The 22757-nt window shown below is 36.7% G+C and overlaps 1 protein-coding gene across 6 annotated transcripts in view; it reads left to right on the forward strand.

The window, feature by feature from the left end:
• Positions 1-22757, forward strand: part of PDLIM5 (PDZ and LIM domain 5) — a 216282-nt gene that overhangs the window by 153263 nt on the left and 40262 nt on the right. For 5 of the 6 annotated variants that reach the window (NM_006457.5, NM_001256427.2, NM_001011513.4 and 2 more), the window contains one exon: positions 12800-12987. In NM_006457.5, coding sequence (NP_006448.5) covers positions 12800-12987 — 188 coding nt within the window. Of the gene's footprint in view, positions 1-2854; positions 2975-4956; positions 5101-5864; positions 5997-12799; positions 12988-22757 lie in introns of all 6 variants that reach the window. The other variant, NM_001256426.2, reaches the window with a different exon arrangement.

The following is a 22757-nucleotide window of genomic DNA, read 5'->3' on the forward strand; positions in this document are numbered from 1 at the left end:
AGTTGTCCGGACTAGGGGATAGAAAAAGAATTCTTCTTACTGGTCCTACAGGATGGTAAGGATGGTAAATTAGTAGATGGACAACTCACACCTGATTTGCTGGACAGATTGTTCACAAGGGTCCGTAATGAACAAGTGCAGAGATGGTGCAGAAATAGACACAATGCATGAATAGCTCTTTGTTCATGTATCCTGAGAAAAGCAAGCCAAAAGGGAAAGACTTTATCTGGGAAAGAGGAAGTCTTCATAACCCTCTCTGGTGAGAAATGAAAACTCATTTAAGCAAGACAAGGCAGAAAATTTGGCTGCTGCAGATATGCTATTAATCAGAGCTTCCTCCAACCTAAAAGGAGTAAACACTGGGGAATGTCAGAATGAGAACAGATACTGATGTTTGTTCCATAGTAAATGAGGTAGTTTAAGATTTTGTCTTAAGTCAGGTTTTTAGAGTTTGGCTAAGCAATGAAGAGATAATCAATACGTGTAACACATGGGAAACTTCCCAAGTGCGTTTGCTTGGAAGATGACTTGGAGATCATCTTCAAAGGTATTTCATGATTTATATGAAATTTATTCTCAAATGGCACTCAGCTTTTTTCCAATCAGCATATTTCACGGAGATGTTGGAAGACTCAACTTCTCCAACTCACTCCCTTTTCTTTTTTTTTTTAATCTGTCCTGTGGTAATATGTAGATATTGATAATAATTTATAACCATATTTTCTTTTTTCCTGAAATATTTATAAATTTTTAATATTAAAATATTTATTTAAAGGTATTTTGGGAGCACTATTCATTTCTTTCAAGTTATCATGTGTCCACTTAGGCAAAAATCTGTTTAGTCAGAATTGTGACACAGTCTCTAGAAGGTACAAATACTTTTCAATTTACAAATATTGTGAATTCGTTATTTGGAAAAAATAAATTTCAAGCTTTTATTTCACAAATATTTGTTAACTTTATGGTAAGCACTTTGTTACACTTCATGTATATCAGTAACTATTGGTATCAGGGAGCTTCTAGTCTTCTGAGACTGTCTGGATTTAAACAAATAACGACACAAATTGTATAATAATAATAACAAATTATATGAGTGAAAAGTACAGACTGCTATGACAGCACATGACAGGGGCAGCTAAGGTGGCTTGGGGAATCAGGGAGGCTTCTGGGAGGAGGTGACATTTAAACTGAGGCCAGAAGGATGCCTTGGAGTTATCCCAGTGAGGGTGTGGTAGAACGAGGGCTGAGGACAGTGAGGAGTAGGAGACTGTGCAGAGGCCAGGAGGGGGATAGAAGCAGGGCCTATTTCAAAAAGAGATGGAAGGCCCAGTGGACTGGAGCAAGCCAAAGAGAGTGGACAAGCTTCATGACATAATGCTGAAGAACAGGTAGCCCAAGATCACCTAGAGCAGGGCTGGAAGGTCTAAGCAACAGACATGATGGCATTTGTATTTTTCAGAGTTCACTCTGGTAGCTGTGTAGAGAAGTTATTTTCTAGGACAGGGGTCAGCAAATTTTTTTCTGTAAAGGTCCAGATAGGAAATGTGCTAGATTTTTCAGGCCATATGGTCTGTCACAGTTAGTCAGTTCTTATATCATATGAAAGTAGCCATAGACATATGAAGAATGAACCTGGCTATGTTCCAATAAAGTTCCAATAAAACCTTATTTATGGATGCTGAAATTTGAATTTTATATAATTTTTGTGTGTCATTGTATTGTTATTTCGATTTTCTTAACCATTAACCATTTAAAAATATGAAAACTATTCTTAGGCCATACAAAGACAGGCAGGGCCTGAATTTGGCCAGCATGCCGTGGTTTGCTGACCCATGTTATGGTTCTTATATTTCTTAGTCTCTTAACCTTTCTGCTCTACCTCTTAATGTTTTAGTTCTATCATGACATTTTTCTTCAACTGTCTACGTTTTTTCAACACTCTGGTAAAGGTATGACTAATGTGAAATAAAAAACAGGAATATAACCTCTCCTTTCCTATTTTTTAATCCATTTGAAAATCAGTGTAACATGACTGACCATTCTATTTTTTTATCCACAGACTTTTTTTTTTTAATGGCTAATTTTGTATTTTTCCTGTTTTATTTTTCTTCCCAAAGTTTTATACTTGGTGCTTTCTTTTTTTTGAACTTAACATTGAGTTCTTCATTTTTTCTTTACCTGGCAATAGTTCTTCTAGAACTTACTTCTGGCATTCTATATAAAAAATAATACAGATATCAGAAAATTAAAGTAAAGAATACTCAAAACCCTACGATTGCATGCCACCATCTGTTGTATGAGCAGATAAAATAGTTTGTTTACATCAAGATACACAACATCCATATAACTTCAGATCTACAGACAGAACATTCTGACGTGAAACTTTTGGTTGCTTTCTTGTAGGACACTTTTAGGTAGCTGTCTCACAATGTTCTGGAAAACATTATATAGTGGAAATAATACAGGCAGACCTGGTCCAAATTCCACCTGGCCCTTACTAGATGTATGGTATTGGGCAACTTAATTAACTTCTTGGAGCCTAAGTTTTTTTAAAGCATTCAAAACACGTAGTCAGTGAATGGGAATTTCCACCTCCTTTTCCCCTGTAAGCGTAATATTTTATTACATAGAAGTAGCCATATTAAAGAATTTTGGGGGAAAACAGCCCATATTTTGTGGTGGCAGAAGTGTTGGGTTTTGTTTTAACCATTTGTAGATGTGAAGTAAAAGAAAACCAATAGTGTTCCCAAAATTGAACTAGTAGACATTTAAAAGATGGTATAGATGATAAATGTCTTTTGTACTTTTCATTAATATTTCCTTTGCCTTATATATTTTACTTCTGAAAACTTAGGTTTGACAGTGCTCTGGAAGACCTACCTAAGAGTGGACCTCACCCTCCTGCAACTCCTCAGGTGTTAACTATTGGTAGCCAAGTGGCCACACTTTCTAAAGTAGCAACTACTTATTCTAGGTAGACTCTTCCTTCTTGGTGTTTCTAAATTTCAAAGCTGGTAGTGAATTTAAATATACTAAACTGTTTGAAAAAGAAAAAATGATTGTTGATTACAGAACGGACATCATTAACCTATAGACAAGAAAGCTTGGCACTCAGCCTCAAAACAGCGCTTCTCACTGCTTTTATATTTTTATTTTTGTTTAGTTTATAACTTCTAATATAGAATCAAGAAATCTCTTTCATTTATTCACTTTGTGATTTGGAAAGTTAACTTGCTGGCTTTGTCATAAGTCTCCTTTTCTGAATTAGAGCATTTGCCTCAAAGACAGGTAAAGGTCATACACAATATGTTACCAGGTGCCCAGACATATTCTAAAGATACTCAGATAAGTAACTGCTTATGAGATATAACTAGATTCTGCTGATACTAAATCCTTTTCTATTATTTGTGATGCAATATGATGAAAGAAATTCATTACCGTTTCCTTTTCTTCCTGGAGAAGAAAAAATTAGCTGATTTATTTTTAAGTGATTTTTCAATATACTAAGTTTCTAGTTCTTATTATTCACCATTATGTCTCCAAATAGTAACCATTGTCTCAGAGATGCAGAGTAATGCAGAAACTCAGAAGTGGAATCACATGATAACTTTATTATTCCCTTTGACATTCATGTTACCTACCCTGCTCTGCCATTGATAACATCTTTCTTTTCTCTCTCCAGACCCTGACGTTTTCTTTTCTAACCATTCATTAACAGTTGTTAAAACTTAGCCATACAGTTTAATTTAATGGATAGACTTAGATAGACCAAAAGAAAAATTACTTAATTCTGTATCATTTTGAAAACATAGCTTGCAACTATTTCCTTAATTTTTTTTCTAATCGTTTTTGTAAAGTTATAGCCTGTGGAAATTGGAAGAATGACTTATCAAATTCTTTTGACAGGAAAAAGAGACTTATGTCAACCCTCACAGTTTCAGACATCTAAGCTCACATTAACCAGAGGTCGAGTTTGCCACGTAATTACTTTGTGTTGGAGGTGGCCATTGAAAAAAGTGGTCATACTGTAGTGATGATGCTCATTGATAAGTTGCACCCATAAATGAAGAAGAGAGACTACAAGTTTCACACTATACGTTTATACACTCTTTTTATTTTACTTAATAACCAATTTGAAAATCACTACAGTCATAATTATAGAATGTTCATTCCTGTCCAGGCATTTGATCTTTTCTAAAAGGCCAAGGGAAAATTATTATTTTAATTAATAAATACTTATTAGTTCTGAAGATAAAATGCTATACCTGCATTTAAAAATGCTTACAGAACTAACTGAAAATAGAAATATGGAACTCAGCAGAAAAGGTGATGTTTTGATCATATTCACTGTAACATTGGTTTATTTTCGCAAAGGTACTTTCCCTCCTTACATAGCTTTACTCTCAATATTTTAAACAATTATCTCTTTTCATGTTAATATATATTGCTCCTTCTTGATAAGCAGTCTGTTGTGCCTGCTTCTCCTGAAAACATAAGTCGTATTAAAATGTCACGCTGTCAGTATATATCGTCTCTAAGGTAAAGCTCATTGTATAGAGACTTTTTGGGAAAAAACAATTTTCCTTCTTTCTATGCTTATAGAAATTCAGACTTCACGTTTAGATTTATTTTCTACTAAGTTGTTGGCAAGTCAGTCTTCAAATGTGTGATACGAGGTAATTTTAAATAGGAATACAGTCAGTGAATTTAAATACATTGAAGAGTATTCGTATGTCCAAATCAGCTTTATGGAGGATTATACATCAGCTTTTAGCTTCTGAGAGAAACCGTAGGAGCACAGACTAAATGGCCTGAACTCCTATTACACTTCTTACACTTCACACTTTTATAATGCTTAGATATTAATATGAAATGGTTGCTCTCTTGTATTTATTATGCTACCCTTTCTCACTTTCCTTTTTGTTCCTCTCCTGTTTTTCTTTCCCTACCTGTCAGTTTAAGCAGCTCCACAGGAAATGTGGAAGATTCTTTCGAAGGTTTTCGAAACTTTTCTACCTTCTCTTCTCCTGCTAGATATAGTGCTGCAGTTCTGAGCAGCGCAGCTGCTACTGTGTCTGCTGTTATTGCTACAAAAACCAGGTAGAACTACACGTACAGCGTCTGTCTGATGTGATCTCAGCGCTCTTCACTGTCTTACAAGTCACCTCAAAGAAAACATGCCCCTTTGAAGCAATCATAGCTCTATTGTGAGCTCTTAATTGTGTAGTGCATATTTTATCTAGGTTGTGGATAAATCTCACAGTATTTGTTACTGGTTTTTTCTTAAAAAATCACCTTTTAATCTCTCCACTGCTGCCATTTATGTATGGTATTTCTCAGTTGCGTGAATTATTACATGTTGTGTGCTTATTGTCACTTGGGTTTTTACATTTTTCAGGTTTTATATTTGAAACAATAAAGTATTAATGAATATTTTAAGTTTCTATTGATTTTATCTTCTCCCACGACCTTTAAAGGGTGATCTGAAGACTACTCTCCCCTAAAAAAATAAAATTGTGTCCTTCCCCAAAAAGAATAAATTGGTTTTGTTTTCGTGGTTTGGGGATTTTAGATAATTTCTATAGTCTTTAGAGCTTCAAATGCTTTCTAAATGATGGCTTTGACCATTTTGGTGAAAATCTAATCAATGTTATATTAATGAGTAAAGGGATAGAATAAACTCTTGGTGCTTCTTTTTATCTTCTTTCATCCTCCTTTGCTGCTTTGTGCTTCCCCTCCTTCTTCCTCTCTCTCCCCACCCTCTCTCTCGTAAAGGAAATGTTTCAAATCACAGACCTTAAGAACTACTGTCTGCTATTGGTAGTGTGATTTTTGACTTAAAACTCTTTCTAAATGCTTACCAGGCTCTACACTCCTGAAAGATATCACTCACTCCTGGATGCACTTTGCATCAGCCCTGTCTCCAAGCCTTTAGCTTTTTCCTATCTGCAGTCCTCAAGGAAATCAACTGGCTCTATCCATGTTAAGAAAACAAGGTACTGTGGGAGCAGATATGGCAAGTGGTGGTTCGCTGTTAAGCATACTGCTTTCTCTAACACTCCACCACTGTATTAACAGGCCAGGTGAGAACATGCTAGAGTTCTAGGGATTTGTGCCCAATTTTGAATGAACTGTAATGTCAGTGGCATGCTAATGCACAAGCACAGTATGTCCTATGATTATTAACTCACCTTTTAACCTTTTGTGACATCTTTCCTTAGCATACTTGATGTTTGGTGTGCAATTCTGAGTAATTGTGCAAGTATTTAAATTGCAGTAGAATTTCTGTCTTTCATTGCATGGATATAGCTATATTAGAATCCTCAAATGTTTGGTAAGACATAGCTTTTAGAAAAATGAAAATGATAATGATCAATTTTGATTGGCTACATATTATAGTTGTTAAATATGAAGGTTTTGCTTGGAAAAGCAACTTAATTTTCACTGTATTTGGGAAATGCTAAACACCAAAATAGATTTTTCTCCTAAGCTTAAGGATTAAGCCAGAAATTTTTAGGCATAATATAAAAATAAAACTATCACAAGTGTTTACTAAAGATATAATCTCAATGAAATAACTGTATACAATGATTTTTGACAGAACGTAAAATCAGTGGCAAAGTGTACAACATATATCAGGCAAAGTGAAAACCTGATATAACTAGGCTGTCTATTGATTAGATGTTTGTATTCTAACCATTCTTATAGAGATTTTTCAATATATTTACCTGGGCCAGGTGCAGTGGCTCACACCTGTAATCCCAGCATTTTGGGAGGCCAAGGCTGGTGGATCATGAGGTCAGGAGTTCGAGACCAGCCTAGCCAACATGGTGAAACCCCATCTCTACTAAAGATACAAAAAAATTAGCCGGGTGTGGCAGTGGGTGCCTGTAATCCCAGCTACTCAGGAGGCTGAGGCAGGAGAATCACTTGAACCCGGGAGGCAGAAGTTGCAGTGAGCCGAAATTGCGCCATTGCACTCCAGCCTGGGCGACAGGGCAAGACTCTGTCTCAAAAAACAAAAACAAAAGCAAACAAACAAACAAAAAATATATATATATTTACCTATTATTCTGGGTAACTTTTAAGGGAGGTGTTTAAACAAGGGAGAAAGATCATAGTACATTTTTCTCTAAGAGAAGACAATACCTGAAATTATATTAGAATATTGTGAGTGTTCATTGAGCAGAAGTCTTTCATTGTCAGGGCTGAGATTGTACAGAGGCAGGTTACTGACCATGCTTAGAGTACACTTTGAGTACTTGAGTACACTTAGACCACACTTTTAGGACCCGGTAAGAGCTATAGATCCTCTCTCCAGAAAAGTGCCTGCGTGCATATACATGCAAAAGTGTGCAAGCATTTATGGACTGACTGTGCTATCTATGGCCCCACCTCTAGAGCGAGTATTAGTAGTCATCACCATTGCTTCTTATTAACAATAGGACACAGACAAAATATAGTGTGATATTGAGAGAGGGAAATGGTTTCTAAAAAGATAGTCTAGTTGGCATTCTGGGGTTTCCTGAGGAGACCCTTGCTAACTTAGTGAGAGGAGTACCCAAAAGACCAGATATATTTTATCTTGTATGACAGTAATCATAAAATGTGTCAGAGACATTTTGTCTTGATTTTTACTTTTGTGTGATAGTAATCTTTAAAAGTATAAATATAGTATAATAGTTTTTATTTATTTTTTTCCATTAAAATATATTTTTCCATTAAAATATATTTCCATTATAATATATATTAGTATATTATACTTTAAATTTTGGTTTACAAACTCTAAGTTAAAGAATTTTGCTTAGGAAAATATTAAAAATTTTCTTCTAAATATAGAATTCTGGAAGGAAAGACACTCATTACCCTCTCTACATGTCCAGGTCTTTTAAAGGCGTTCTGACAGAGGAATTCTATAAAATAAACAATTGCTTGTAACTAAGGCCTTTCCAGAAATATTCCTTTCCTGCCATTTCAGAATCTGTATATTAGTATACCATTTTTTGATAAGACTTTAGCCAAAAACTGTTTAACTTAAACATTGATAATTAAACCTGTGATGTACAGTTGTCTTTTAAAAAATTTAAACATGTAATTAGAATAAGTTACTCTGAAAAGTATTCTTCAAGCAGAGTTTTTCCTTTGAAAATGGACTTAAAATTCCCAAGTATTCTTAATCTGTATCTGAGCTTTATTTGTTGCAACAGTTAAACAAATGTGGGAAAGGAATGTAAACTCAAGATAAATCAGGTTGCTGACACTGAGGTTAACTTTCTTCCTTTTCGTTTTTCCTCATTAGCTCCATCTTGAAAATAAACTTTTGCTCTATTAGTGTACTTGTCTCTATTTTCAGTTTTTGAAAAAATGAAACAAAAACCTTGGTATTCTTAAGATAGAAGTCATATCAATCTATTATTTCATTTCAGTCCCTGTTTATTTGGTAGATTAGTGAAAATAACCATATTTTAATATCAGTATCTGTGGTATCAGCCAAGGGTATTTATGGATTTACACCAATTTCCTCATTAGAATTATTTAGAAAACATTTAAATTTTATTTAGGATTTAGTTACACCTTAAATAATTTAAATTTAGAAAATATATTTGAATCATTAGTTCAGAAATAAAATAGCAATCTAATTTAAGTAACAATGCTATACTATATTAATACATTAATCATTAGAAGTTTCTTGCTAGTGATTATTGATAATATTTTATTCCTACATATAAAATAATATGGCCAGTGACTTTTAATCCTTTTTTTTTTTTTTTTTTTTTGAGACGGAGTCTTGCTCTTTCACCAGGCTGGAGTGCAGTGGTGCGATCTCAGTTCACTGCAACCTCCGCCTCGCGGGTTCAAGTGATTCTCCTGCCTCAGCCTCCCGAGTAGCTGGGACTTCAGGCATGCACCACCACACCCAGCTAATTTTTGTATTTTTAGTAGAGACGGGGTTTCACCACATTGTCCAGGATGGTCTCCATCTCTTGACCTCGTGATCCGCCCACCTCGGCCTCCCAAGGTGCTGGGATTACAGGCATGAGCCACCGCGCCCAGCCAATCCTTTCATCTTTAGTACAATGTTTGTTTTTTTACAGAGACAAGGTCTTGCCGTGTTGCCCAGGCTGGTCTTGAACTCCTGGGCTCAAGCAGTCCTTCTGTCTTGGTCTCCTAAAGTGCTGGGATTACAGGCATGAACTACTGTGCCCAGCCAATACCAAATGTTTATGTATGCTCTTTAAATAGTAGCTAATAGTTAAAATTAGGGAAAAAATGTTAGATTTTTAGGGGATTGGGCATCATATATTCAGATATATGATTGTCTAGATAAACCCTAATATTCTTCCATTACAACATTAAATGGTTCAATTAAATTTTATCCTCAGAGAAAATTGAACTTCAGATCAATTCTGGATTTAAGCATAAATGGAAAAACTGCCTTGGTAATAACTTAGATTTCTATGAATTCTTTATAGTCTACTCCAAGCCCTTTGTAGCTAAAGAGTACTGTTTAAGATTTAAACATCTTAGGCCTCTGAGAGAGAACGTATACAAACCTGTGTACAAAAGGTACAATCAAAAATTGAAATTTCTTTAGCTTATATGATACTTATTCTGTGGGAACTTTAAGAAGTATTGTGTGTTTTTAAAACTGAATTGAGGAAGCAAGATTTTGTCTGGGGTCAATACCCTGCACCCAAGTGATCCATAGTACATTTAGAAGCAAAATTCTTAGTGCAGATGAAGGATGCTTATTTAGTAAATGTACTTATTGCTAATTTTATTATCACCAGACCAGATATTACAGGATGTAGAAGTAAGAATCCTTTTTATTTCCTGAGCATATACTCTCTGCTGGGCACTGTGCTAAGTAATTTGCATGTATTATCTCATATCTTATTTAATTCTTAACAGTAATCTTGGGATAAAGGTAGTATTTTTATACCATTTTACAGGTGAGGAAATTTACCAAGTTTAAATAATTTACCCACAGTCACAGTAAAGTCCCCAACCTCAGGTAGTTTATAATGAAGTGGAGGAGACAAGATGCATAAAGAAGTGACTATTAATAGTAATTTTAAAACAGCTATTACAAATCAGCATAAAATTATATGCCATGCAGTTAACGAATGTCCTGAATTAAAAAGAGTGTCTCTACTGCTGGAGGCTTCAATAATTAAACAAAATAATGTATGTTAATTTGAACACAGTGCATGATGCGTTATTATATTTACTTCTATTATTATTAATTATGGATAAGATGTGGATGGGTGCAGAGAGAGAGTAGGAAGAGGTACCTCGTATATAGAATCTGGAAAAAAAAGGTAGAATTGTGGACGACAGTAGGGGTGGCCAGAATATAGTTTGTATAGCATAGTGATAGGAGATAAGATTAGACTGGTAGATTGTAGCTTTATCTTAGAAGGCTTTGTATGTCATGCTGAAATATAACTGAGCCTTCCACAGGCTAAATGGCTAAATTCGTTGTGCGGCATTCCATCCTCTGCTTAAGTGGCTTCTGGTGACAGGGCTCTCACAGAAAGCCTCATTAGGAACAGATTTTTTTCCTTTGGAGGATTTTTTTATATTAGGAATCACCTTTTATTGAAGCAAATCCATCTCACTGTAGATTTCACTCCTTGAAATTAGGCAAACAATGTAGTTACATAGAGTGAATCTGCAGGTCAGACATTTGAGGATGGCTGTCATGCTTCTCTAGGTTTTTTCATAACCTGGGCTACTATTACCAGTTCCTTCACCCAAACTATATTAAGCTTGACACTGAATTCCTCTCTTTTAAGTCAGTTTGTCTGGCAGCTCTCCTGGAATTAAATTTTGATTCTTTCAGATGACTACACATTAAATGGTGATGGATTGGGTTTTGTTATTTCCAGACTATATATTTTTGTTTCATCTATAATTCCTAGCATTGCTTGGTCATAATTTTTTTTCTTAGAACCGTGATTATATACATTATTAATTAGTTTTAAAAATCAAATCCGCAAGGGTAATTTAATCCCAGAATGAAAATGACCTCTATATAAGTATTTCAAAAATCATTTATTTGTAATGAGTAAAAATGTTGAAAATAAGGCTTACTTTTATTATTTGAATATGGTAATTATGTAATTATCCTTTTAATATGTTAAGGTTATATTCTGTGCCTTAGAGTATGCTAAGCACTTTATACATAATTATCTTATTTAAGCCTCGTAGAAATCTTATGAGCAAAATGTTACTCGGTACACTTAAAGTACAGGTAACTGAGGCTTAGAGATGTAAAATAATTTGTCCACCACAGTGCTTTTAAAAGATGCTCGTAACCACTATATTGTAATTTCAAACCCTGATTCCATTAATGCTTTTTGTTGTGTTGCCTTTACTGATAATTGTGTTCAATATTCCCATGAGGGAGGCAGTCTTTGACTTTTTATTTATGATAAAGATTATTAAAGTGCTTAAAGTTTTTTATTGTATAGCGTGTTTTATCATCAAACAGGTTTTAGTTTTTTAAGTTAAACTGATCAAAAATAATAAAAGCTGATGGCTCTATGACACTTGCATTTGAGAGAACAAGAATAGGGAGCAATATTTCAAGAAAATCATTCTTACTGTTTTTCAAAACTGTTTAGTGTCAGAGATGCCCCAAGACCACTCCTAGGTTTATTGTTTCGATAGAAGGACTTACAGGATTAGTATATAGTTGCACTCCTGACTAAGATTTATTATAGCAAAAGAATACACAGCAAGATTAGCAAAGGAAAAAGGTGCATGGGACCAAGTCTGGAGGAAATGAGTCTCGAACTCCTGACCTCAGGTGATCTGCCAGCCTTGGCCTCCCAAAGTGCTGGGATTACAGGCATGTGCCACTGCACCCAGCCTGAAAGTATTACTTTTAAGAATTGTTATTATACTTTACTTGAAAGAAATAACCACTGCTATAGTATTATATCATACCAAAGCATATATTTTATAATTTGGGCTACCTAGAATTATTATTTTTTTTTTGGAAATGATGTTATATGTAGTTATAAATCACAAATGACTTGGTAATAAAGGCCATATGATCTTCAAAACCAAACTGGAACTAGCATAGATAAGACCTGCTGTTTAAACAGGTAACTCTTGGTTGAGAGAAGATAATGGCAGTCTTGTCTCTTTTTTCCCTTTATTATGAATGCATAACACTGGGTGTTCTGTTAGGCAAGGGTTGTTTCTTGTTTATTGTTTTGTGGCCAGTGCATAGCACAACCAACGTTTGGCATATAGTAGGTGCTTAAATATTTATGAATGAGTGAGTATGTGAGTAGAAGGAGTAACTGGGCTGGGAATGATGGCTCACACCTGTAATCCCAGTGCTTTCGGAAACTGAAGTGGGATGATTGCTTGAGGCCAGGAGTTCAAGACCAGCCTGAGGAGCATAGTGAGACCCCTGTGTCTACAAAAAAAAAAAAAAAAAAAAAGTAGAAGAAGAAAAAGAGTAACTGGTAAGGGCTGAGGTGTCAGGGAGACTTTTATCATTTAAAATGATTAACTGTGTAAATTTTCAGTAGCCTAATTTCTCATGGTAGACCTTTTAGAAAGAATTTTCAAAGTATGAAACAAATGCAATCTGACTCCTTTTTCTTTTTTTCAGTTTTAAAGAGAGGCAATCCCTCAGTCATGACTTCAAAGATTTTCTTTTCTAAAGAATTGATTAATCAATGGATTTTGATTGATTAATGGATTTTGAAAAGAAAGGATTATTGCTGAGTTACGTTGCTACCACTTCACCAAAGATGTTTCTTTATTTCCTTTACAGTAACTCTCAGGAGCCTTCTCCGCAGTTGGCTTCCTCGGTAGCTTCCACACGGAGCATGCCCGAGAGCCTGGACAGCCCAACCTCTGGCAGACCAGGGGTTACCAGCCTCACAGCTGCAGCTGCCTTCAAGCCTGTAGGATCCACTGGCGTCATCAAGTCACCAAGCTGGCAACGGCCAAACCAAGGAGGTAGCCCAGAGAAATCTCTTGCGTCTTGCTTTTCGTAATGAGTTTCATTATGAAAATGTGTTCTGGGATATATGGTAGAATTCACTGGTAAAACCCATTCTCAATAACCTAAGATTTAGAAAGGACTATCAGGATTAAACTATAGCTATTTTTCTCTCTGAGACATCTCATAAACATTCTTTGTGTGTATTTGATACAGTCGCATTTGCTATTCATAATTGTAGGATTGGGCATTTCCTTGTTTCCCAGAATAGGAAGCATGTGTTAAATTGTAAATTTGGGTCTTATTTAATAACAACTATATTGTTGGAAGGTTATCCTTGGAAATATAACATTTTAGTTTTGATGATATGTACAAATAACAACCACAGAAACATTTATTGCCATCAAACAATTACTGAAGAAAGCATCTTCCAATTCTTGTTCTTACAGTTTATGTAGCATAGGGGAAGAAGGACACAGTACTAGAAAGAGCATTTGAGCAGCAGGATGGAACTGCCTGGCCTCAGTTTGGAAACCTGAGTTCTCATTGACTTCTACAGATTAACAGCTTTAAATAAAGTCACATAACCTCTTTGACACCCTCAGTTTTCTGATCTGCAAAATGAAGAAAGACTAAATCATTTCCTATTTCTCCCAACATGAACAAAGTTTATGATTATGTAAAAAAAAGTACCCCTTTTAACAGGAAAATGGGACTGTACTTAAATGTTGCTAATCTCAGACTCAGCCTTCATCTCTTCTCACTCTTTATGCTCTCCCTGGGTGATCTCTCATCCAGGTTCCTTTCATTACTTAGTTATCGATAATTTACAGATCTTTCTCTCCAACTGAGTGATCTATTTGCCATCTCCTGGTGGCACCTCAAATCCAGTATGTCTGAAAATAACCATTTCCTATCTCTGGGAATTGCACATCCACTCAGTCACCAAAGCTAGAATGTAGACTTTTAGACCCCACGCCCCACATTCTCACAGTAACTAACATCTAATGGTTTTACTTTTTATTATTTCTCAAATTTCTTCTCTGTGTCATCAGAGCCATTGCTTTGATTCATGACCTCTTCATTACAAATGACTTCTAATTTCCCTGTCTCCTTTCCCCTCCTTCAGTCTGTCCCCCATACCTCCATACTACAGCAAGTGATCTTTCTTTTTTTTCTTTTTTTTTTTTCCACGGTGGCTCACGCCTGTAATCCCAGCACTTTGGGAGGCCGAGGCCGGCGGATCACGAGGTCAGGAGATCTAGACCATCCTGGGTAACACAGTGAAACCCTGTCTCTACTAAAAACACAAAAAATTATCCGGGCATGGTGGCGGGCGCCTGTAGTCCCAGCTACTTGGGAGACTGAGGCAGGAGAATGGCATGAACCCGGTAGGTGGAGCTTGCAGTGAGCCAAGATCACGCCACTGCACTCCAGCCTGGGCGACAGAGCGAGACTCCATCTCAAAAAAAAAAAGAGAGACAGGATCTCACTCTGTTGCCCAGTCTCCCAGGCTGAAGTGCAGTAGCACAATCATAGCTCACTGTAGCCTCAACCTCCAAGGTTCAAGTGATCATGCCACTTCAACTTCCCTAGTAGCTGGGAATTATTATTATTATTTTTTTTCTGGTAGAGGTGGAATATCACTATATTGCCCAGGCTGCCCTCGAACTCCTGAGCTTAAGCGATCCTCCCACCTTGTCTTCCCAAAGCATTGGGATTACAGGTGTGAGCTCTCATGCTTGGCCAGCAGCAAGTGATCTTTCTCAAACTCTGATTTGCTGCTTTACTCCTCTGCTGTGGATGCTTGACTATCCCACCCTTCCTTAACAAATCATTTAGGACCTTTTATACTTTGGCCCCTACTAACTTCTCAGCCTCATCTCCTGCTTCACCCAATTTATAATCTGTGCTTGGTTGCACTAAACCATCTTCAGTTTCCAAGACATGGCATACTACCATGCTTTTGAAAGTTCTTACCACTCTGTACAGAATGTACTTCTTCACCTAGCCCTCTAATTTCTAGTCGTTCTTCATCAGTTTTGAGATGAATGCTGATTGAGTACCCAAGGGGCCACTTTTCACAATGTGATAGCTTTAAGAATTGATCATAGCTGAGTGCGGTGGCTCCTGAGGATCACTTGAGCCCAGGAGTTTGAGATCAGCCTGGGCAGCATGGCAAAACCCCATCTCTACTAAAAATATAAAATATTAGCCAGACATGGTGGCACATGAGCCTGTAGTCCCAGATACTTGGGAGGCTGAGGTGGGAGCATCATCTGAGCTCAGGAAGTTGAGGCTACAGTGAGCTGTGATTGCACCACTACACTCCAGCCTGGGCAACAGGAGTGAGATACCTTGTCTCCAAAAAAAAAATGGTCACTCATTATTCTTTTAAGAATATTTTTGAGATTTGTAAGAGTGAATTTTTTAGTTAATTAAGTAGGAATCCATCTTTGTTTTTGTATTTTTCACAGTGTTTAAATATATTAGATACTAAATAAATTATTTATAAATTATTTTTAGAAAACGTTATTTATACAGTCTATTTTATAGTGGCATGTGTTAACATGTCACTAATTTTGCTAAGAAGCTAGAAGTGGCTGGGCACAGTGACTCACGCCTATAATCCCAGCACTTTGGGAGGCTGAGGCGGGCGGATCACGAGGTCAGGAGATCGAGACCATCCTGGAGATCAAGATCACCTGATGGGTAAAACCCTGTCTCTACTAAAAATAAAAGAAAAGTTAGCCAGGCGTGGTGGTGGGCACCTATAGTCCTAGCTACTCAGGAGGCTGAGGCAGGAGAATCACTTGAACCCAGGAGGCGAAGGTTGCAGTGAGCCAAGATGGTGCCACTACACTCCAGCCTGGGTGGCAGAGTGAGACTCTGTCTCAAAAAAAAAAAAAAAAAAAAAAAAAAAAGCTAGAAGTATTTCTATTGTGTTGGAAAGAGGACAGGCCATGGCATATGAGTTAGACTATTTTAGAGGAAAGACTTTCATTACTTCTAAAAACTTAAAACATTTAGTCTAATGTTATTAGTCTCTGAAATTTCTGGACTACTAAAAAACACTTAGTCTAATATTATTAGTCTCTGAAATTTCTGGACTATTAACTGACTTACCATGATCTATTCTTTTGGGGAAAAAATGCTAAGCTCAGCCCCATACATTTTTGAGTTATTTCTATTTATTTAAAGCCTATGTATGATGATGAAGATTTTCTGTAATTACTTTGTGCATTTGAATACAGAAAGTAATTTTCAGAAAAATGCTATTGGTATGGTAATTGGAAGCTAACAGGAGAATGTTTTGTAAAAAGCAACGAAAAGACTAAATTTCTGAGGTAGAAACCGAAGAGAAGGCACAAAGTATATGGACAGTGGAGGACAGAAAGTTTATATACGGCCTTTGGAAGTTCAGAAGTTTATGGTTAAAGTACTGCTCTGCCTTTTAAGTGGAAAGAAAAAGTTCATTTTTTTGAACTCTTGGCGAATATAGTACAGCAAAATTACCACAAGAGGGCGATGGAGTGCTTTCTCCAAGTCTAATGAAATTTGTGAGAATAATCAAAGTAGGCCAATATTAGCAATTATAATAATGAGTCACATGGTTAGTGTTTAAAACATTATGCTTTTTCTAGAAAATATAAATGAATTTTATATGAGCAAAACTACAATATAAAACATTATACATTATATAACATTATAAAACAAAATTATAAAAAGAATGTTTTCCTGTTGTGAAGTCACAGTTGAATTACATCATAATTCTTAGCTCAATTTTGAAAATATTTACTGAGTTCTTATTTATCTTGCTCCAGGTGCTATAAACAGGCATTTATTCAGTTATTACGTTGTGGCAAAGTTAACTTATTTTGTACTATTTTGGAAAATTTAAAAATAAAAACAAAATTCCCAGCCACTCAAATTCTTCTGCCCTACACAATGGTATACCATAGTTTAAAGACAATAACAACAACAAAATCATCTCAGAATGTACTCTTAGTCTTAGATAAATAGTTTCAAAAGCTTCCTGATGCAAATGAAAAAGTCTTTTGATTTAGAAGGTGATAGCGGATTCATCATGTGTTTATGCGTTCCTGTTTAAATTATGGATAGCAGCTTAGGTAAATTTAGTTCATTAGATACAAATGTATGTATAAAATATTACTATCTTACAAATGTAATGAAATGTTTTTCACAAATTCAGTCATAAAGTCATGAAGAGCCTTTCTGTGTTGGAACACATCAGTTTTCTAATTTTAGTTTAATCATATACAAAATGAGAATGAATAATTCATTAGAATATAAGCAATGCTTTGATAGATCTGGACCCGTTGTTCATTGAGCCAGTTTTCTGACTGGTGGTGGCCCCCCAAAATAGAAATGCCTGCCCTTTGCAGGTATGAATTTCAGAAGGTTAGCATTTTTGTGAGCCTTTTCCCTCTCTCCCTCCCTCCTTCCCTCCCTCTCTCCCTCCCTCCCTCCTTCTCACCTTTCCCTCCTTCCTTCCCTTCCTCCCTCACTCTGTCGCCCAGGCTGGAGTACAGTGGCACAATCTCGGCTCACTGCAACCTCCACCTCCCAGGTTCAAGTGATTCTCCTGCCTTAGCCTCCTGAGTAGCTGGGACTACAGGTGCCTGCCACCACACCCAGCTAATTTTTGTATTTTTAATAGAGACGGGGTTTCACCATGTTGGCCAGGATGGTCTCAATCTCCTGACCTCGTGACCCACCCACCCCGGCCTCCCAAAGTGCTGGGATTACAGGCATAAGCCACCACGCCCGGCCTCCATTTCTTTAACTATTAAAATAAAGACCTTAAAAGCTTCTCCTATAGCATTCTTGTGAAATCAAATGATATAACTAGGCTGCAGATACTTAGAGGATACTCAGAGGTTAACTTTCTATGCCTTTATTCCTTTTCTTGATGGCATTAATAACTTACATTGTTACTGTCCAAAAACTGGTTCTCATGTGATGTCCCTGCTTGAAAATGTTTGGGGCTGTCTGCTGCTGGTCAAAATGCTTAGCTTCTTAACAGAATTTTTGGTCCCCTTGCAATCTCAGGCCAACCTTCTTCTCCAGCTTCATTTTATAACACTGTTCCCTATAGTCCACTCACACTGAAGTTCATGAGTTCATATCATTCCTTGGCACACACTTTTCTGCTTTGTACAAGCTGCTCCTTTTATTTGAAATGCTTTTCCATCCCTTCTACTCCTGACAAACTTCTCTTTACCTTTTAAGACCAGCTTGTTCCCCCTTTGTGAAGCTTTCTTGAGCCCTCTTGTTACCTGTTCTTTTTCAATACTCCTACAAAATTTCAATAATGTCTTTGTTATAGCATTCATCCTGTTCATTTTAATTGTTTACATAGGTGTCTTTTACGACTGTTTTTAGATTCCTTTGAGGACAGGGACCAAGTCATACTGATCTGTTTTACAGCATCTAAACAATGCCTGGCACAGTTTATAGGCCCTCAGTAAATGTCCCCGAGAAAGTGAGTGGGTAGAGAAGTCAGTTGTCTTATTTAGGACATCATACGATCTGAAGGATGCAGAATTCATCTGCCAGGATATTGTTCTGTCCTCCTGCCAAACTTGAAATTCCCACAACAGTCATTGAAAAGGTGGGAGCACTGTCTGCCAAAGGCTGCTATTAGAAAATAAGCATGTTGCTAAGGAGAAGGGAGCTCCACTCTTCTTGAAGCATTTAACTCTCTTCAGAATTAAGATCGTGAACATGAGCAGTACCATAACTAGTAATACATTATTTATTTTTGGAAATTAAAAAATAATAACAGTTGTAAAGCCCCATGATAGGAATTTTTTTTTCTCAAAAGTATGAGGGCTAGGCACTGTGGCTCACACCTGTAATCCCAATAGTGTGGGAGTTAAGGCAGGAGGATTGCTGGAGGTCAGGGGTTTGAGACCAGCCTGGGCAACATAGCGGGACCCCCATCTCCACAAATTAAAAAAAAAAAAGAAGTTGGCTGGGCATGGTGGTGCACGCCTATGGTCCCAGCTGCTCGGGAGGCTGAGATGGGAAGATCTCTTGAGCCTGGGAGGCGGAGGTTGCAGTGAGCCAGGATTGTGCCACTGCACTCCAACCTGGGTGACAGAGCTAGACCCCCATCTAAAAAAAATGTGATAATTTACTGCATATAAGGAACCAAGCAGTGGAATGCAGAGGAAATATTAGGAATGTGGGATCGCCCATTTTGTCATTGTGGACAAATTAGCTCGGATGCAAAACACCAGTATATAATATAGAAATCATCAAAAAGGTGCAAAGAAGAGTCAAATCAAACTATGAGTCCCAGTTCAGAGGCATGGAGGTGTGGATCAGTGGAAAGGGAAGAAAAAGACTTAAAGTTCTGAGGATACAATCTTGAGGTAAAATATGTATTTGTTTATAGTGAAGTCCTATTTTATGCAGGAACAATATTTTAATGTTTGTGCCTAAAACAAAATAGCATGTAGTCAACGACCCTTGAACATTTTTAGGAAGAGGCCGATTTGGAGAGGGAGCAACATATGCAAAAACTGAGAGAATTTGGCTTCGGGTAGGAAAGACAAGTAGTTCAGTATGTTTAAGACTGTCTAGTGGCCCAGAGAGAAGGTTGGCTGCATTAATGGGGGTTTTGAATGTAAGAGTGTGGACTTGATGCTGAAAGGAAGCTATTAAAACATTTATAAGCCGGAAGTGGCAAAATCAGACTTGCATTATTAAAAGATTATTATAGCATTAATGTGTTTAAAAGATCATCATGACTTCATTGTAGAGATTAAGGTTGGAGACCTGGAGACCATTTAAGAAGTTATTCAGGTAATCCAATCTGGAGATAGATAATGAATATTGCCCTGGGCAGTGGCAGTGTTTTGGAGAGAATTCCCTGGGCAGGGTGACTGCAGGGTATTTACACTTTAACCTAACTGGGCTGCTGGTTTTAACCATTGCCCTCTCTGGGAACTTGACTCCCTATAGAGTACCTATGTATCCTCTGTTAAAACACCCGTGGAGGATTGTATTCAGTTTATAGCATATTAGAATGCTACCTTCATACTTTCTTTAATTGTGTGTACACACAACTCCCAGTTGAGCCCTGTTTACTCTCATGTCCCTGGTGTTGACAAGAAATTAGTGGATATTATTAAACGTGTCCATGGAGGCAGGCATTCTACTGAGGAAAATAAAAACATATATTGATATTAGTTGATATGATATTATGGCGATATACTCAAGGCAGTAGTATTTTATCATTTAATATTAGACTTTTTTTTTTTTTTTGAGACAGAGTCTCTCTGTGTTGCCCAGGCTGGAGTGCAGTGGCGCTATTTAGGCTCACTGCAAGCTCCACCTCCCAGGTTCACGCCATTCTCCTGCCTCAGCCCCCCAAGTAGCTGGGACTACAGGCGCCCGCCACCATGCCCGGCTAATGTTTTTGTATTTTTAGTAGAGACGGGGTTTCACCGTGTTAGCCAGGATGGTCTCGATCTCCTGACCTTGTGATCTGCCCGCCTCGGCCTCCCAAAGTGCTGGGATTACAGACGTGAGCCACTGCGCCCGGCCAATATTAGACATTCTTAACCTCTGATAGTCCGTATTGAACAGATAACAGTTTCTCTATGCTCTTGTTGAGGCACCATTCCCTTTATGTGAATTAGGTGATATGTATATAAGCTTTATCTTAGTGATTTGCTTTTCTCTGTGAGACAGTTTGGATATGTAGTAAAGACAAAGGCTCTTAATTGACAAGAATGTAAAAACAAAAGTTTATGATTCTTTTTTAGAATATAAGTTGTTTTGTGTTTTGAAGAAGCATGATACAAGTAAGCTATACATATAAAAGTTGTGACCATTTGAAGGTCTTTTGGGGACAGTATAAATTTCTTTTGATCAAACGAAACGGGAAAAAACACAAACTTGCTTTTCAAAATGAATAGTTAATTTTTGCTTCTGTTGTACCCCATCTGAGGAGTTTTCACCATCCCTATTTGAGGATTGGGAACTCATGAATACAATGGGCGGCCTAAAAGGAACAAACATTTAACATTTAACAGTAGAATGATGACTATCATTGATTAGTAGTAATCATTGTTTTTGTAATACTTTCAGTTGTAACAGATATTTTTATAAGAATGCACAATAAGGTAATGTCATTAAAATTTAAAATTTAAATAGGCATTATTTAATGAGGTAGCAGTGTCTGAGAAAAGTCAAAAGAATTGTTTAGAGTTCTGTAGTGAGTTGAACCCAGCTGTTTTGACTCTGAATACTGTATTTTCCTAAGTCAAAAGACAGTATCAGTGAACGTATTTAAGGAGGACTGTATCTGTTAGGGATGGGATAGAAAGGATTCTTGCCTTGGATAATAGGGAGCTTCAAGTGACTGGCAACTGCTAAGATCTGTTTCAAGTAACATTTTCTTTGCATCTAAACTCCGTTTTTGAAATTTAGATCATTTGGCTAAGATTCTAGTTAATGTGTTTTTCTTTTTTTTTTAATCATACCCGCTTCTGGTGTGTGCTACATTTAGCAATAAAGAAAAGCTTGTTTACTTCATTGTAGACTGAGCTTTGGAGAGATCTGATATGTTGTTTCGGTGTTTTTTTGTTTTTTTTTTGTGAGAAAGACTCAAATATATTTGTGAGATTTGATTAGATCAAAGACTGAATGATGTGCATCTCAGTTATAAGTGGATATAAATTCTATCTTTTATTTGAAGTCTAAGGGAGATAGGGGTGAGAAAGGAAATTACTGTTTCTACAACCATCCCAAATTTCATTGTAGGCTTTGCACTACAGTAATAAATCGAGATAACTAAATTTGCCTAGCTAAGATGGATAGATTTATTGGTTCCATTTTAAAATTTTTATATGAATAAGTAAACTGCTACCAGTTGCGTATATTTCATCTCTTCTAATAATGTTTTATTGCCATCTGCTCCCCTGCATTTTGACATCATTAAACTAAACAGCCCTCTTGCCGTAAAGCCCTGACTGGAGCTGTCCATTGTCAAAACTGGGGTGTGAAACATGTAAATATGCCCATCTCCTTACATAACAAGTAGATTTTTGTTTCTGATTCTCAGGAAAAAATAAAAGTAACAACCATTAATTGCCTGTTTTCTTTTTCTTCTAATTGTTCCTTCATTGAAATTTATTTGCGTGTTGGAAGCTTTCCAGTGCTGATGCAAGGCTTCATCTGTGAAAGCTGTTCTTTCTCCCCATTTTCTTCTCTTTCTGAGATTAAAATATTAAACTTTTTATAAGGCAGACATCTACATTTGTTCATATATGCTTTTCATAAAGAATTGTTCTATTAATTGATGCATATGGTTTAAACCAAAGTTTGGCAAATGGTGTTCCTTGGTCACATCTGGCCCACCACTGATTTTTGTGAATGAAGTTTTGTTGGAAAACAGCTACGGTACGGTTGTTTACGTATTGTTTATGGCTGATTTCATGCCACAATGGCAGAGTTGAATATTGCAAGAGTCTGTAAGGCCCACAAAGCCTAAAATATTTATTCTCTGGCTCTTTACAGAAAAAGTTTTGTTAACACTGGTTTTCAAACGCATGAATAAGAATAACAATGCTTGATAATTCTGCATGGTTAGTTGCAGACTTTATTGACAGCCATCAGCACCCTTGGTAGCACTAGTCCTGAGATACTGTGATTGCCTATTTGCTTGTCTGTAGTGTCTTTAAGAAGATAAACTCTTTCTGGGCAGATATCTTATCCTTAAATGTATCTTCCACACCAGAAGAATTCTTAC

The sequence above is a fragment of the Homo sapiens genome, chromosome 4, assembly GCF_000001405.40.
Source record: "Homo sapiens chromosome 4, GRCh38.p14 Primary Assembly".
Classification (NCBI taxonomy): domain Eukaryota; kingdom Metazoa; phylum Chordata; class Mammalia; order Primates; family Hominidae; genus Homo; species Homo sapiens.